This window comes from Homo sapiens, chromosome 5, assembly GCF_000001405.40.
Source record: "Homo sapiens chromosome 5, GRCh38.p14 Primary Assembly".
Lineage (NCBI taxonomy): Eukaryota > Metazoa > Chordata > Mammalia > Primates > Hominidae > Homo > Homo sapiens.
Genome location: NC_000005.10, coordinates 64,186,621 through 64,201,398, shown reverse-complemented (window position 1 = coordinate 64,201,398; position 14,778 = coordinate 64,186,621). Strand labels below are relative to the sequence as shown.

Below are 14,778 nucleotides of genomic sequence, written 5' to 3'. Positions count from 1 at the left end.
CAGGTTTTCCTATGGGTTACTTTTATATTAACACATAAACTTTCTTTTCTAGGCCCATAGTGAATACAAAAAAAACCTATATAACAAGTTTCCAATTCTTACTAGGATTCTGAATTTAATTGTGCAGTGATTACTGAGGCTCACTCATAGTGGGAATAAAAAACATTGACTATTATCTTCAGCTTATGCCTATAACATTGCACTTAAAACATTAAGGTCATATTAACATTCGTAATTAAAGGCAAAATTAATTTTAACCTTGGAAGGGGATGCTTTTTGAATACCATTTTAGAATGTTTTCAGTGGGTCAGGTGAAATAAGGTGAGAGACAAAGAGTCATGACAAAGAACTATAAATATTCTTAATAAGGTAGAGAAGAATAAGTGTGCATGTGTGTGGATAGGCCCACAGCACTCCTCTACCAGGAAACTGAAGACTGGAGTTACCAATACTCACCTTAATCACTTGATTCTCAAGATACTCCATAAAACAACCAGAGCTTGCTATACATTTTCTACATTTCCAACAACGAAGAATACTTGTTTCCTCTTGACTATGATTTTTAGTTATCAATTCTTTGCTTCTTTTCATCTGCGGAAACATTAGTGCATTTTTAGAATGTTAAACTGTCAGATAAACTGGACTTTCTAAATCCTTAACATGGCATTAGCTACAAGTGGACAGTAAAGCAGGGAACTATCATTTATTAAGGTACCTACCAGTTATCAGGTCTTAGGTTTGGGGCACTCTATACATTACATCTGAGATTGAAAATCCCAATTAATTATGATGATACATTATGTTAATGACTACCAGCTTATTTTCTTTGTGCACAAAGTTTTGTATCTACTGCTTTTCATTTGTCTCTCACTAAAAGTGGTAAACACAATCTGTAGAGTCAATTCAATAAGTTACTGCAGTAGTTTTTTTGTTTGTTTGTTTTTAGACAGGGTCTCACTCTTGTCACCCAGGCTGGGGTACCGTGGCACAATCATAGCTCACTATAGCCTCGAACTCCTGGGCTCAAGCAATCCTCTTGCCTCAGTCTCCTGAGTACCAGGGACTATAGGAGTGCACCACCACACTTGGCTAATATTTTTTATTTTTTATTTTATTTTTTTTACTTTCTGTAGAGACAGGGTCTTGCTTGGTAGCACAGGCTAGTATCAAATTCCTGGCTTTCCAAGCAATCCCCCTGCCTCAGCCTCCTAAAGTCCTGAGATTACAGGCGTGAACCACTGCATCTGGCCTACAGTGGTTTTAAAGAGTCATGACAAAGAACTAAATATTCTTATAAGTAGCATGTTTTGAATAGTCATACCATTAAATTTTAAAAATAGGATTTACTGAGTTGTTAATTCTGTGAAAATTGGAAGTGCCTACCTTAAATTGATGGCAAAATTCCTTTATCCTGAAAGCGACAAAGTCTCCACTATATTGTACTTATTGGAACAGTTAACTATATACTACATCTTGTATATAATCAAGCAAGACTCAGAGAACAGCCCCACCAAATTTGTAATCTATTTTTGCACCTGAGATTTTATGTCAATACTTTAAGCCAATTTGGGATAATAGTTTCACACTAATACATAACAATTCCAAAATAGGTACAGGGTGTTAAATAACTTGTCTGGTAATTATCCATTACAAAGAAAGGCAACATTAATTTATCAGGCTACCCACATGGGCCTGCCTAGTTCCCTGGCCACATTTCCTCATTTGTTCATTCAGTTCTCATTCGTCCAACACTTATTGAAAGCTACCTATGTGCCAGACAATGAGTCAAACTCTGGGAACATGAAAATGAGTAAAACTTTCTTTCTGTCTCAGAGGTGCTCACTATGCTACAGATCAACAGTTTTTCAACTGTAGCACATAGAATCACTTGGGAAGCTTTAAAAGAACAGTGATGCCTAGGACCCACTCCTAGAAATTTTTACTGATTCTGAGATGGGGATGCAGGTAGAAATGGACATTTAAAAAAAATTACCCGAGGGAATCTACAGTATGGTCAGGGTGAACACGGAGACATGCATACTATTAACAGTTAAGTAAAATGCAACTATAAGAGAGGGAACATGGACAGACAGTAATCAACTTTAAAGGTAGGACTTAAAGAACTCTGGCTCAGAGGGCACAGCAAGCCCCTCTAGTTCAGACCTTCAAGTAGACAGGCTGCAGTTCTGTCTCTACTGACCCATCTTCAGAATGCATCTTAGCCCAGTTGACCACTCCATTTTAACTATGACCTCAATGACCACCAAAAATCATTTAATTTGGCCGGGCGTGGTGGCTCACGCCCGTAATCCCAGCACTCTGGGAGGCCAAGGCGGGTGGATCATCTGAGGTCAGGAGTTCGAAACCAGCCTGGCCAACATGGTGAAACTCTGTCTCTACTAAAAATACAAAAATTTAGCCGTGTGTGGTGGCAACATGCCTGTAGTCCCAGCTACTTGGGAGGCTGAGGCAGGAGAATTGCTTGAACTCGGGAGACAGAGGTGGCAGTGGGCCGAGATCGTGCCACTGCACTCCAGCCTGGGCAACAAGAGCGAAACTCCGTCTCAAAAAAAAAAAAAATTGTTTAATTTGCAAATGTTCTGCCCTCCCCTTTCTTCATTGTTGAAGCACGAACACACTTAACTTCTTTAGTATTCTTCTTTCCTCTCTTACCCTTCTTAGCCTCTTTTATCTTCATCTCCCTTTTAACCAGTGGTCCTCAGCCAGGATAGGGACTGCAGGGAGGATTCATACCAGAATCAAGTATGGAGAAACTCTACATCTGCCTGTGCCCTCCAACCCTGAAATACCTGCCCTCTTCTCCCTGAAATTTTTCCATGCCTTCTTGGGGTACAACTATGTAGTAGGAAAAAAACCCTGTAGGAGATTGTTTTAAGTCTTCATTTAAACACTGAAAACTGTATTCACTCTGTGTGACAATGCTTTCGTATCAATGATTTTTACATCTATAGATCTAGTTTTGGTCTTGTTCCAAAGCTCTAAACCAGTATTTTCAATTTCCAAATGCCAATGCACATCTCTCTATGAATCTCCTTCAGGGCCTTTGTACTGGCTGTTCACTCTTCATAGATCTGAGCTATTCTATACAGTAGCTACTAGCCAGACATGTTTATTGAGTGCTTGAAATGTGAGTTATCTAAATTGAGATGTCCAGATTTTGAAGTCTTCGTAGAAAAAAAGAATGTAAAATATCTCAATATTTTTAAGTACATGTTGAAATAATACTTTTAATATACCGAGTTAAGGAAAATGTATTATAAAATTAATTTAACCTGTTTCTTTGAACTTGTTTATGTGGCTTTATAGGTAAGGCTTGTGTTGTATTTCTACTGGATAACCTTTTTCTAGACCTCCTCACCTCTCCTGGGTCTCTGCATGGTTGGCTCCTTTCTCATCATTTAGATCTTGGTTCAATGTCACCTCCTCAAATATATAGTATAAGGAACACCTTGAATTTACTTAAATGCAAGTCAGTGGGCCACAATCTAAGAGATTCTAATTCAATGTTTCTAGGATGTAATCTTTGTATAAAGTTCAAATTTATCACTTACAATACTGCCAAATATCCATGTCTGAATATACAGTTTGCCAATCATTCAAGTAAAAAATAATGTGCCACGAAAAGGTACTGACTTCAACTCTCAACTAAAACAACTGAACATGGGTTTTTCCTCAAGATCATCATCAGCCATCAGTAGACTGCACAAGTGCTCTATGGGTTCTTCTCATTTTTTCCCACAAAGAATATTTTTAAAAAGATGTACTTAAAAGAAAAGATTTAATACAATATTATTTACTGCTTCGATAAACAGGTTTTTTGCATCTATATGGTGGTAAAGAATAAAAGGACTCCTAGTATAGATTGTCACCATTGCCTTGATTTTGCTAAGGGACCCGCAGTTTTACCCACTATTGCTTTTGTATTATTTGTGCAAATGTCAATACAGTGAAAAAGGCAAACAACATCTTAATATTACCAAGAAAACAGTTTTGACCGCATTCTTTGAAAAGGTCTCACAGACACCAGCGGCATGAAGCACATTTTGAGAAATGCTACTTTATGCAAAACAGCTATCTCAAAAGTGTTGTTTTTGAAAATCTTACTTCTCAATAACATTCTTTAAAATACTTAGGAACGAAAGATGAGTCCCTATGGAGAAACATATTTATAACAGATTAGGTTGAAATTTTTTATAATACCAAGCACTGGAATTATAACCTCCATAACGAAGTTGCATTTCTTTGTCTATCCTTTGCTATTTGCTACACTTTATGGTGAAATACCAGCATTTGACACAGTAATAATTCTACATTCGTGGGTCTCTAGTCTTTGCTGACCTTTTTATTTGTTATTCATAAATTGAAACTTGAGATGAGGTGGACAAAATTATAAATTAAAATTAACCTAAAGTTAGAAAATACGAATAAAACGATTTTTAAAATTGAAACAGAACTCAGATACCTTCTCCAAAGCAATTTGGAGGGGGGATATAAGCATAAATGCTGTAACTGCCAAATTTTACCAATCTTTTAAGAAATAATCTTTATAACCTATAAACTGTAGTCCAGAAAACAGAAAAGAAAAAACAGCTCCTCAAAATAATTCTATAAGAGTAATATAACTTTGATATATTAACTAGACAAGGAAATATAAAACTAGACAAGGAGAATATGAGAAAAATATGAACCAAACTATTTATAAACATAGATGCTAAAATTCTAAATAAAATATTAGCCAACAGAATCCATCAATGAATTAAAATAATAATACATTTTGACCAAGTAAGATTACTTTCAGGAATTCAAGAATGGTCAAAATTGGGTGAAAAACTATTCAATATACCGAAATAAAAGATTAAAAGAAAAAACATGCTCATCTTAAAAGCTGCAAAAAATATAACTCTCAGTGAAATTCAACATTTAGTCAGAAATGAAAAACAAAACCAAAAAACACCACCCTAGCAATAGAAGGAAACTTCCTTAACCTGAGAGAAAGGGAGTTTATCGAAAACATTAGCAATTATATAATACTTGATGGTGAAACTTTAAAATCATTCCATTAAAATCAGGGAGAACATAATGATGCTATTTGCCCTATTATTCAAATTTGTAGCAGGACTCCTAGCTAATGCTAGTAAATAAGAGTTATAGCATCCGAAAGCGTTAATGGTGGGAAAAAAAAAAAAACTAAGTGCCTGTTAATACATGACATCATTTTTGGTTTTTAGGTTACAGGTGTTTCCATCTTGTTAGAAATACAACAGGCCCTTGAATAACATTGTTTTATTCAATATCAGTTATAAAATTGACAAGGAAAAGAAAGTCAATTTCCATTGTAACACTGATGAGAAAAATAATCAATTCCTGACCACAGTCACTGTGTGGAGTTTGCAAGCTCTCCCCATATCTGTGCGGGTTTTCTGTGGGCACTGCAGTTTCCTCCCACGTCCCAAAGATATACATGTTAGATTAATTGGCATGTCTTAATGGTGCCAATCTGAGATGGTGGGAGTGTACCCTGTGATGGAATGGTGCCCTGTCCAGGGCTGGTTCCCACCTTGCACCCTGAGCTGACAGATTAGGTTTCTGCCACCTACAACCCTAAACTAGAATAACTGGGTGAATATTGATCTTATTTTCTTACATGTCTTGATTTCTTAAATGTCTGTATAGCTCACATTTACTTTAATGTTTAATATTAGAAGTGTTTTGGTCTTTACTTAAAAGTTTGATGTTTTTGTGGCCAGAAATATGCCATAGGCAATTAACTCTTATTTATATCAATTAGCCAATGGTAAAATTGGTTTCATTATACTAAATTCTGATTAAAGTTGCAGTTTCCAAGAACTTATCAATGACATTAAGTGAGGACTTACTGCACATAAATAACAACAGTTAGCAAGTTTGTTCCCTGATGCTGAGGAACTGGGGAGAACACACCCCTTTCACATGGTATTTCTTTATTTCCTAACTACACAGGAGGTGGTTAATAACAATTTGCTTACTACGATGATTTTAACTACATAACTTTCATACACTTGGTATATAAAACTTTCCTATATTAGTAAATATGCTTGGTTTAAAAATGTTTAAATTCAACTTTTAGACTTACATGAAATACTTTCAGTATTACTAATCAGCTAGAAGACACTCTACCCCCAATATGTACATTTGTCACTAGGATAACTGGTGAGGATAAGATCATGGAAAACATTTTCCTATACAGTTTTCCTTATTTGAAGGAGAAACTGTACTACTCAAAAAAAGAATCTCCTGGGATACAATGTTAAATTTATAAATAAGCTAACATAATACCTGATAAGCTTCTGTGGTGCTAGAAATATACTAATTTCTAACATACTACTAGTTTTCCTACTCTGGGTACTGGTATTTTACATACATATATACATGTTCAGTTTGTGAAAATTCATTTGCTGTATACTTGTGATCTGTTCATTTTCCTATCTGTATATTTCAATATGAAAATTTCTTTTAAAACTTGTAACTTGTAAACAAGAAAAAAACAAACAACCCCATCAAAAAGTGGGCGAAGGATATGAACAGACACTTCTCAAAAGAAGACATTTATGCAGCCAAAAGACACATGAAAAAATGCTCATCATCACTGGCCAACAGAGAAATGCAAATCAAAACAACGAGATACCATCTCACACCAGTTTGAATGGTGATCATTAAAAAGTCAGGAAACAATAGGTGCTGGAGAGGATGTGGAGAAATAGGAACACTTTTACACTGTTGGTGGGACTGTAAACTAGTTCAACCATTGTGGAAGTCAGTATGGCGAGTCCTCAGGGATCTGGAACTAGAAATACCATTTGACCCAGCCATCCCATTACTGGGTATATATCCAAAGGATTATAAATCATGCTGCTATAAAGACACATGCACACGGATGTTTATTGTGGCACTATTCACAATAGCAAAGACTTGGAACCAACCCAAATGTCCAACAATGATAGATTGGATTAAGAAAATGTGGCCCATATACACCATGGAATACTATGCAGCCATAAAAAAGGATGAGTTCTTGTCCTTTGTAGGGACATGGATGAAGCTGGAAACCATCATTCTCAGCAAACTATCGCAAGGACAAAAAACCAAACACTGCATGTTCTCACTCATAGGTGGGAATTGAACAATGAGAACACATGGACACAGGAAGGGGAACATCACACACCGGGGACTGTTGTGGGGTGGGGGGAAAAGGGAGGGATAGCATTAGGAGATATACCTAATGTTAAATGACGAGTTAATGGGTGCAGCACACCAACATGGCACATGTATACATATGCAACAAACCTGCACGTTGTGCACATGTACCCTAAAACTTAAAGTATAATAAAAAAAAAAACTTGTAACTTTAAAGTGTGTCTCTCTTCCTTTCCCTCTTTTCCTCTCATCAATATAACCTCATGCTTGCCTCTGTTTGATAACAGTAGGTAAAGGGTGCCCAATATGGGGCAGTGTCTACAGTGACAACTCTTATTATTGGGCCCTGGTTAAAAGGTCAAGGTTTTCGGATAGGTAAAAGTCAAGCCCTTGCAATGAGACAAGAAATCACAGATGTGTTTTCCCACCATTGCCCATACAGGGATTACTTATCTATCACCAAGGAAAAACTGGAGAACAAGAAAGTGTGGAAATGAACCCAGGCTGATCTTTCATTATAAAAGTGATATATAACAGATAAATTTATATGTGGATAAACAGTACCAGCCCTTGTCACTACCAAAGAACTGGTTAAATGCTAAAGACGACTTTCATAATCCAAATCCTAAACAATTGGGAATGGGCCAAGATAGAAAGATCTAATGTAATGCTGAGAACCTCTCAAAACAGATAACTTTGTGATTTGCTATCCTTTATATGGACTGATGTTAATTTTTTTTAAAAAAAGCTTTATTAAGATACAATTGGTATACAAAAATTGCATATATTTAATATATACATTTTGATGAGTTTGGACATATGTATATGCCCAAGATTCTACCACCACAATCAAGGTACTTGATATATCCATCACTTCCAAAAATTTCCTTGTTCTTTGTAGGGTTTGGTTTTGGTTAAGAACACTTAAAATGAAATCTATCCTCTTAACATATTTTAAAGTGCATAATACTGTACTGTTAACTATAGGTAATATATTGCACATCAGATCTGTAGAACTTATTCATCTTACATACCTAAAACTGTATACCCATTAAGCAACAGTTACTGATTTCCTTTCCCCCATCCCGACAGTCACAATTCTATTCCCTGCATCTATGAGTTTGACTATCTTAGATAACCTCATATAAGTATAATAATGTATTTGCCCTTCTGTGACTGCCTTATTTCACTTAGCATAATGTTCTCTAGGTGCATCCATTTTACAAATGGTAGGATTGCCTTCTTTTTCGATGCTGAATGTTTCATTTTATATATATATATATATATATATATATATATATATACATGCCACACTTTCTGCATGCATTCATTTGTCAATAGGCACCTGGTTTTTTCTCCCCTTATTTTGGCTACTCTGAATAATGCTGAAATGAACATGAGGATGCAATTATCTCTTTGAGACTGTTACTTCAATTATTCTGTATATACATCAGACATAGGATTGCTGGATCATGTGGTAGTTCTACTTTTAATTTTCTGAAGACCTCCATACTGTGTTTTGTTTGTTTGTTTTTTGAGATGGAGTCTCACTCTGTCGCCCAGGCTGGAGTGCAGTGGCGCGATCTCGGCTCACAGCAACCTCCGCTTCCTGGGTTCAAGTGATTCTCCTGCCTCAGCCTCCTGAGTAGCTGGGATTACAGGCACGCGCCACCACGCCCAGGTAATTTTTGTATTTGTACTAGACACAGGGTTTCACTGTGTTGGTCAAGCTGACTTCGAACTCCTGACCTCACGATCCGCCAGCCTCAGCCTCCCAAAGTGCTGGGATTACAGGAGTGAGCCACTGCGCCTGGCAACTCCATACTGTTTTTAATAGTGACTACACCATTCGATATTCCCACCAAATGTGTACAAAATTTCTCTACATCCTGGCCAACCCTTACCTTTTATTTGGTAATATCCTAACAGGTGTGAGACAATATTTCATTGTAATTCTGAACTGCCTTTCCCTGATGATTACTGATATTAAGAACCCTTTCATGTATCTAGTGGCCATTTGTATGTCTTCTTAGCAAAAATGTCTATTCAAGTCTATTACCCATTTTTAATTGTTTTGTTTGTTTGCTATCTCAAAATCAGGCATATATGATCAAGTGATCTTTGACAAGGGTGTCAAGACCACAGTGGGTGAATAGGACAGTTTCTTCAACAAATGATGGTGAGAAAACTGGACACCCACATGCAAAAAAAATAAAATTGGACCCCTATCTTACACCATATGCAAAAATCAACTCGAAATGAATTAAACACTTAAACAGTAATATCTGAACCTGTAAAACTCCTGGAAGAAAACAGAGAAAGTTTTTTGGCATTAGTCTTGGAAAGCATTTCTTGAATTTGACACAAAATGGACAGGCAATAAAACCAAAAATAGACAAGTAAAACTACATTAAACCAAAAAGTTCTGCACAGCAAAGGAAACAATCAACAGAGTGAAAAGGCAACTTATGGAATGGGATAAAAATATTTGGAAACCATTTAGATAAGGTGCTAATATAAAAACATAAAAATCTTCTAAAATTCAATAGCAAAACATAAGCCAATTAAACACTGACATATTAGTCTTTAAAGTCATTAGACAACAGAAAAAATATGTTTGTATTTCATGCATTGACCTTTGTGAAATAGTCTATATTTTCTATCAGAATAGTAAAGAAAGACAATTTCCAATTAGTGCTTTCTAGCAGTCTCATCACCTTGTATTAATATCTAAGTATCTGGGGGGAGGAGAAGGATGAATAGGTGAAATGCAGGAGAATTTTAGGGCAGTAAAACAATACTGTATGATATTGTAATGGTGGACACATGATGTTATACATTTGTCAACATCCACAGAACTATACAACTCCAAGAATAAATCCTAATGTAAATTATTAATTTTAGTTAATATTCATTGATCAATTGTAACAAGTGTACCACATTAATACAAAACGTTAATGATAGGAGAAACTGCATGGTAAGAGGAAGTGTTCTGTACTTTCCATACAGAAATAAATGGGAACTTTCTGTAACTTTCTGCTCATTTTTTCTATAAACAGACTGCTCTAAAAATAGTCTACAAATTTAAAAAACTATTTTGACATCTAATAACAATACCATCTACTCAAAGTTACTGGTATTCATTAACAAAAAAAGGAGAAGTTTACTTTTGTCTTGGGTTTTTACACCCTTCTTTTGAAATTTAGTATCAACGCTGCTTTTCTAAATGTAAAAAAAGTTATACTTCATCAGTATGATATATGTACTAGTCTGCTTGGGTTTCAATAACAGAATACCACAGACTAGGGGGCTTAAACAACAGAAAATTATTTTCTCACAGCTCTGAATGCTGGAAATTCAAAATTAAGATGTTGGTAGGGTTGTTTTCTGGTGAGGCTTCTCATTTTGGCTTGCAGACAGCCACATTCTTACTGTGTCCTCACATGGCCTTTCCTCTGTGCATGTGTACTTCTGGTGTCTCCTCCTCTTAGGAACAGGAGTCCTACTGGGTTACAGCCCCACCCTTTTGACCTCATTTAACATTAATTACCTCCTTAAAAACCTTATCTCCAAATTGGGGGTTAGAACTTCAACATATGGATTTAGGGGAGAGGACACAATTCAATCTGTAACATTCCTCCCTCTGGACCCCCAAATTCATGTCCTCTTCACATGCAAAAAAACATCCACTCCATCCCAACAGCTCCCAAAAGTCTTAACTCATGTTAGCATCAACTCCAAATCCAAAGTCGCATCTAAATATCATCTAAATCAGGTATGGATGAGACTCAAGGTATAACTAATCACGAGGCAAAATTCCTCTCCAGCTGTGAAACTGTGAAAGCATGCAATGTATATGCTTCTAAAATACAATGGTGGCACATGCATAGGGTTGCCATTCCCATTCTAAAAGGGAGAAATCAGAACAAAGAAAGGGATGACAGGTTGCAAGCAAGTTCATTACCTAGCAAGACAAATTAAGGCACAATAATAATCCTTTCTGGCTTAATGGTCTGACCTACAGGCCCACCATAACAGCGGCTTTGTTTTCTCGGCCCACTGAGATGGCAGACCTGCTCCCTTGGCTCTGGGTGGCAGCCTTGCCCCTAAGGCTATGGACACAAGTATACAAATATTCAACTGCTAAAACTGAAGAGATGGCCCTATACTCAAACTGAGGAAGAAACAGCCTTAGCCCTGTGAGTCTGTGTGCTCTGGGCCTGTGGAGGCATCTCTGTATCATCTTCGGGTCCTTATCTTTTGTTGAAGGATAAGGCATATTCATAGCCAGATAGGCCTATGGTCCTTTTCTGTAGAATCCCAGAAGTCTGAAAGCCTTCCTTTATTTTGTCCTGTCTTGTCTCCTTTAATCCAAAATGGCAGTATCTCTGCTGCTATAATCCCATCATAGTATTATGGATGGAAAGATTGTCCAACGATACAGTGAGTGTCCTCTCCAAAACATGCTTTCCAGTATTTATTATGCAATATAAACAGGCTGAGAATTTTCAGAATCTTAATTTCTGGTTCCCTTTAGCTTAAAATTCCTTGTATAATTCATCTTTCTCCTTTTGAGTTGACTGTAAGCGGTAAGGAGAAACCGGGCCACATCTTCAACACTTCGCTTACAAATCTCCTCTGCTAAATATTCAAGGTCATCACTCACAAGTTCTACCTTCCACAAAGCACTAGAATACAATTCAGCCAAGGTTTTTCTTTTCTTTTTTTCTTTTTTTGCCACTTTATAACAAGGACTACCTTCTTCCAATTTCCCATAACACAGTCCTCACTTCTGTCTGAGACTTCACCAGAATCACCTTTAACATCCACATTCCTACCAATGATTCCTTCAAGTTAATCTAGGCTTTTTCTAACAGAGGCATCAAAACTCTTCCAGCCTCCATATGTTACCTAATTCCAAAGTGTTTCTCCATTTTTATGTGTTTGTTACAGAAGAATACCAATTCACAGTACCAAAATATGCACTATTCTGCTTGGGCTACCATAACACAATACCATAGACTGGGTGGCTTAAACCAAAGAAATTTATTGTCTCATAGTTATGGAGGCTGAAAGTCTAAGATCAAGGTATTGGCAGGGTTTCTTTCTGGTAAGACCTCTCTTCTTGGCCTGCAGATGGCCACTTTCCTGCTGAGTCCTCATATGTCCTTTCCTCTGTTTGTGTATACTTCAGATGTCTCTTCCTCTTCTTACAATTACACTAGTCCTATTAGATTGGGGTTTCACCCTGTGACCTCATTTAACCTTAACTTTCCCTTTATGACCTCATGTCCAAATATAGTCACATTGGGAGTTAAGGCTTTAACATATGAATTTTGGGGCAGGCGGTGAGGGACACAATTCAGTCCATAACAGTACCTATAGAACCCAAGCCAGTCCTCCCAATTTTGCCATTATTAGAATGCTCATGTTTATTACGTGTCTTTTCTGTTATACTTCCTGCATAGAATAAAGTCACGGCACAAAGAAAACCCACCAAATATTTCTCAAAGGGTAAAAATCCTGTTAGTGAACAAGAAAGAAAAATCAAGAAGAGAAATGACCAAAGAACTTAGAGCTCCCTTAGCAATTATCAATATCTTTCTTAAAACTTAAGATAAAAATTCAAGTGAGGTAAAATTGATAAATTTATGAAAGGAGCAAAGCATACCAACTTAGAAAATAAAATGCTTAAATAATTTAGCCAGTTCAAACCATCTCAGGGCAAATAATATTTCCAAATTTTTTTTAAACTATCCATACCTCCTGGGCACGGCACTTAAAAATATGTACTTTTTTTTTTGTTTACGAGAACCATAATGTATTTGTAACCATTAAGTTTAGCATAATTAATCACCTAAAGGTTGTATACTGTAAGTGCTCAGGACCTTATGTCTCCAGAAAATGAGAAAGAACATTCCTTTTGTAGATATAAAGAAATAGCATGTCCTTAATGTAAGGGAAATCTCATTGTTACACAGGGCATAGCAATCCCAACAGTAACCCACAACTGCTTTGTTGAAATGGGCTTTGGCATCCGTGGCTGTTAACATGAGCAGAACATCATACATAATAACTCTGTCAGATGAGCTGCACAGATATTAATTATTTTGTAAAACTAATTACATGTCAGCTCACCCTACTGATATTGAATCTTCTTGATGCCTATTGTGAGCACGGAAGAACTGAAATAAAAGGAGTCCAAATCCAAGCAGGCCACAGCAAAGAAATACTAGCAACACTACAGTCAATGATCTGTGAAATGCTGCAAAAACGTAAAATGGCTGAACTTGCAAAACAGACAATCACCTAATTTGTTCGTGAATCATTTAAGAACACCTTAGGACACAAAAAGTATTCCTATGTTAAGTAAAAATTAAAACAGCTTCTCACAGTTATGGCCAGATGCCTATGGAATGTATGTGCCTTACTTACTTAGTTCAATGAATATTTCAAGTACCTGTATTATTTGGTGAAAGACAGTTTGTAATCTGGGATCCCTCTCATATTACTGTTCAATCTTTGTGAAAGATATCAGATACTTCATCTACACAAATAGACGGTGTCAGGTGATTTCTAAACTGTCATTTTATAATTCTATGCTGCAGTAATGAAAACTGCATTTGAAACTGCTAATTTATGAACTTAAACTGTCCAACACGAATTACAGAGAGAGAGACCACAGTCTTCTTAAATAATTGTTGGTGTTACATACTTCTGTGTTTGAACATGATAAAATCAACTTCAATAGTTTAAATGGTTCTGCATATGCTTTGGTGTTCACATCTATAAGTATTTTTCCTATCTCCATCTAGCCACCTCTCACCTTCCTTATTTCTACTTTTCTTCTACCTTCTCTGGGTTTGTTGAGTTAGGCAGAGTGCAATGCATAATAAACAACCTTAATGACAAAAAGTAGTATGAATTTGTCATTGTACTTGCTACCAGTACTTCATATCCTGTCCCATAGGTTCTTAAGTCACATACTTCAATTAAAGTTGAATAGCACTTCTTTATTCTTGTAAACTGACTCATTTTCCTTTTTCTCACAAATATATCTCAGGCACTTAGTCTTGAATGCCCACTGCAGTATTTCAATCCAAGTGACATCTTTAAGAATTATAAAATATTACTGAAGAAATGCAGACATGTGTTCTGATTAGTTTTGTCCATTTTAATTGCTACCTGTCTTTCATAAAATAGTGAATTTTAAAGAAGAATGAAAGTAATAATAAGCAGGACCCATATATTCACTGACTTCTAACACACTACTTTCTTATGGGAAAAATATATGAAAAGGTAGAAATTGCATGCGGAATTAAGAGAGTTGTACAAAATGCTGAAATACACTTTCCAAAATGTTGTGTGCATGTCGGTATTTACATGGGACTCTCAGAAATCATCATATGATGAGTATACAAGTTCTGGCTCCAAAGAAGAGTTTTCATTATTTTTGGAGATTCTTGAGCAATCCAGGACATGATACATCTAAATATAATTTTAATGAAGGTCCCAATAATATTTCTGATTGGACCATAAAGATACAGTAAAGAAGAAAATAAAATCAGGAAATTTCTTTTCAGTTAA

General features: G+C 36.2%; 1 protein-coding gene across 15 annotated transcripts in view; it reads right to left on the bottom strand.

Annotated features, from left to right (window-relative positions):
• Nucleotides 1-14,778, bottom strand: part of RNF180 (ring finger protein 180) — a 207,519-nt gene that overhangs the window by 171,471 nt on the left and 21,270 nt on the right. For all 15 annotated transcript variants that reach the window (XM_047417118.1, XM_047417120.1, XM_017009388.2 and 12 more), the window contains exon 2: nt 457-591. In XM_047417118.1, the coding sequence (XP_047273074.1) occupies nt 457-591 (135 nt within the window). The remainder of the gene's footprint in view (nt 1-456; nt 592-14,778) is intronic.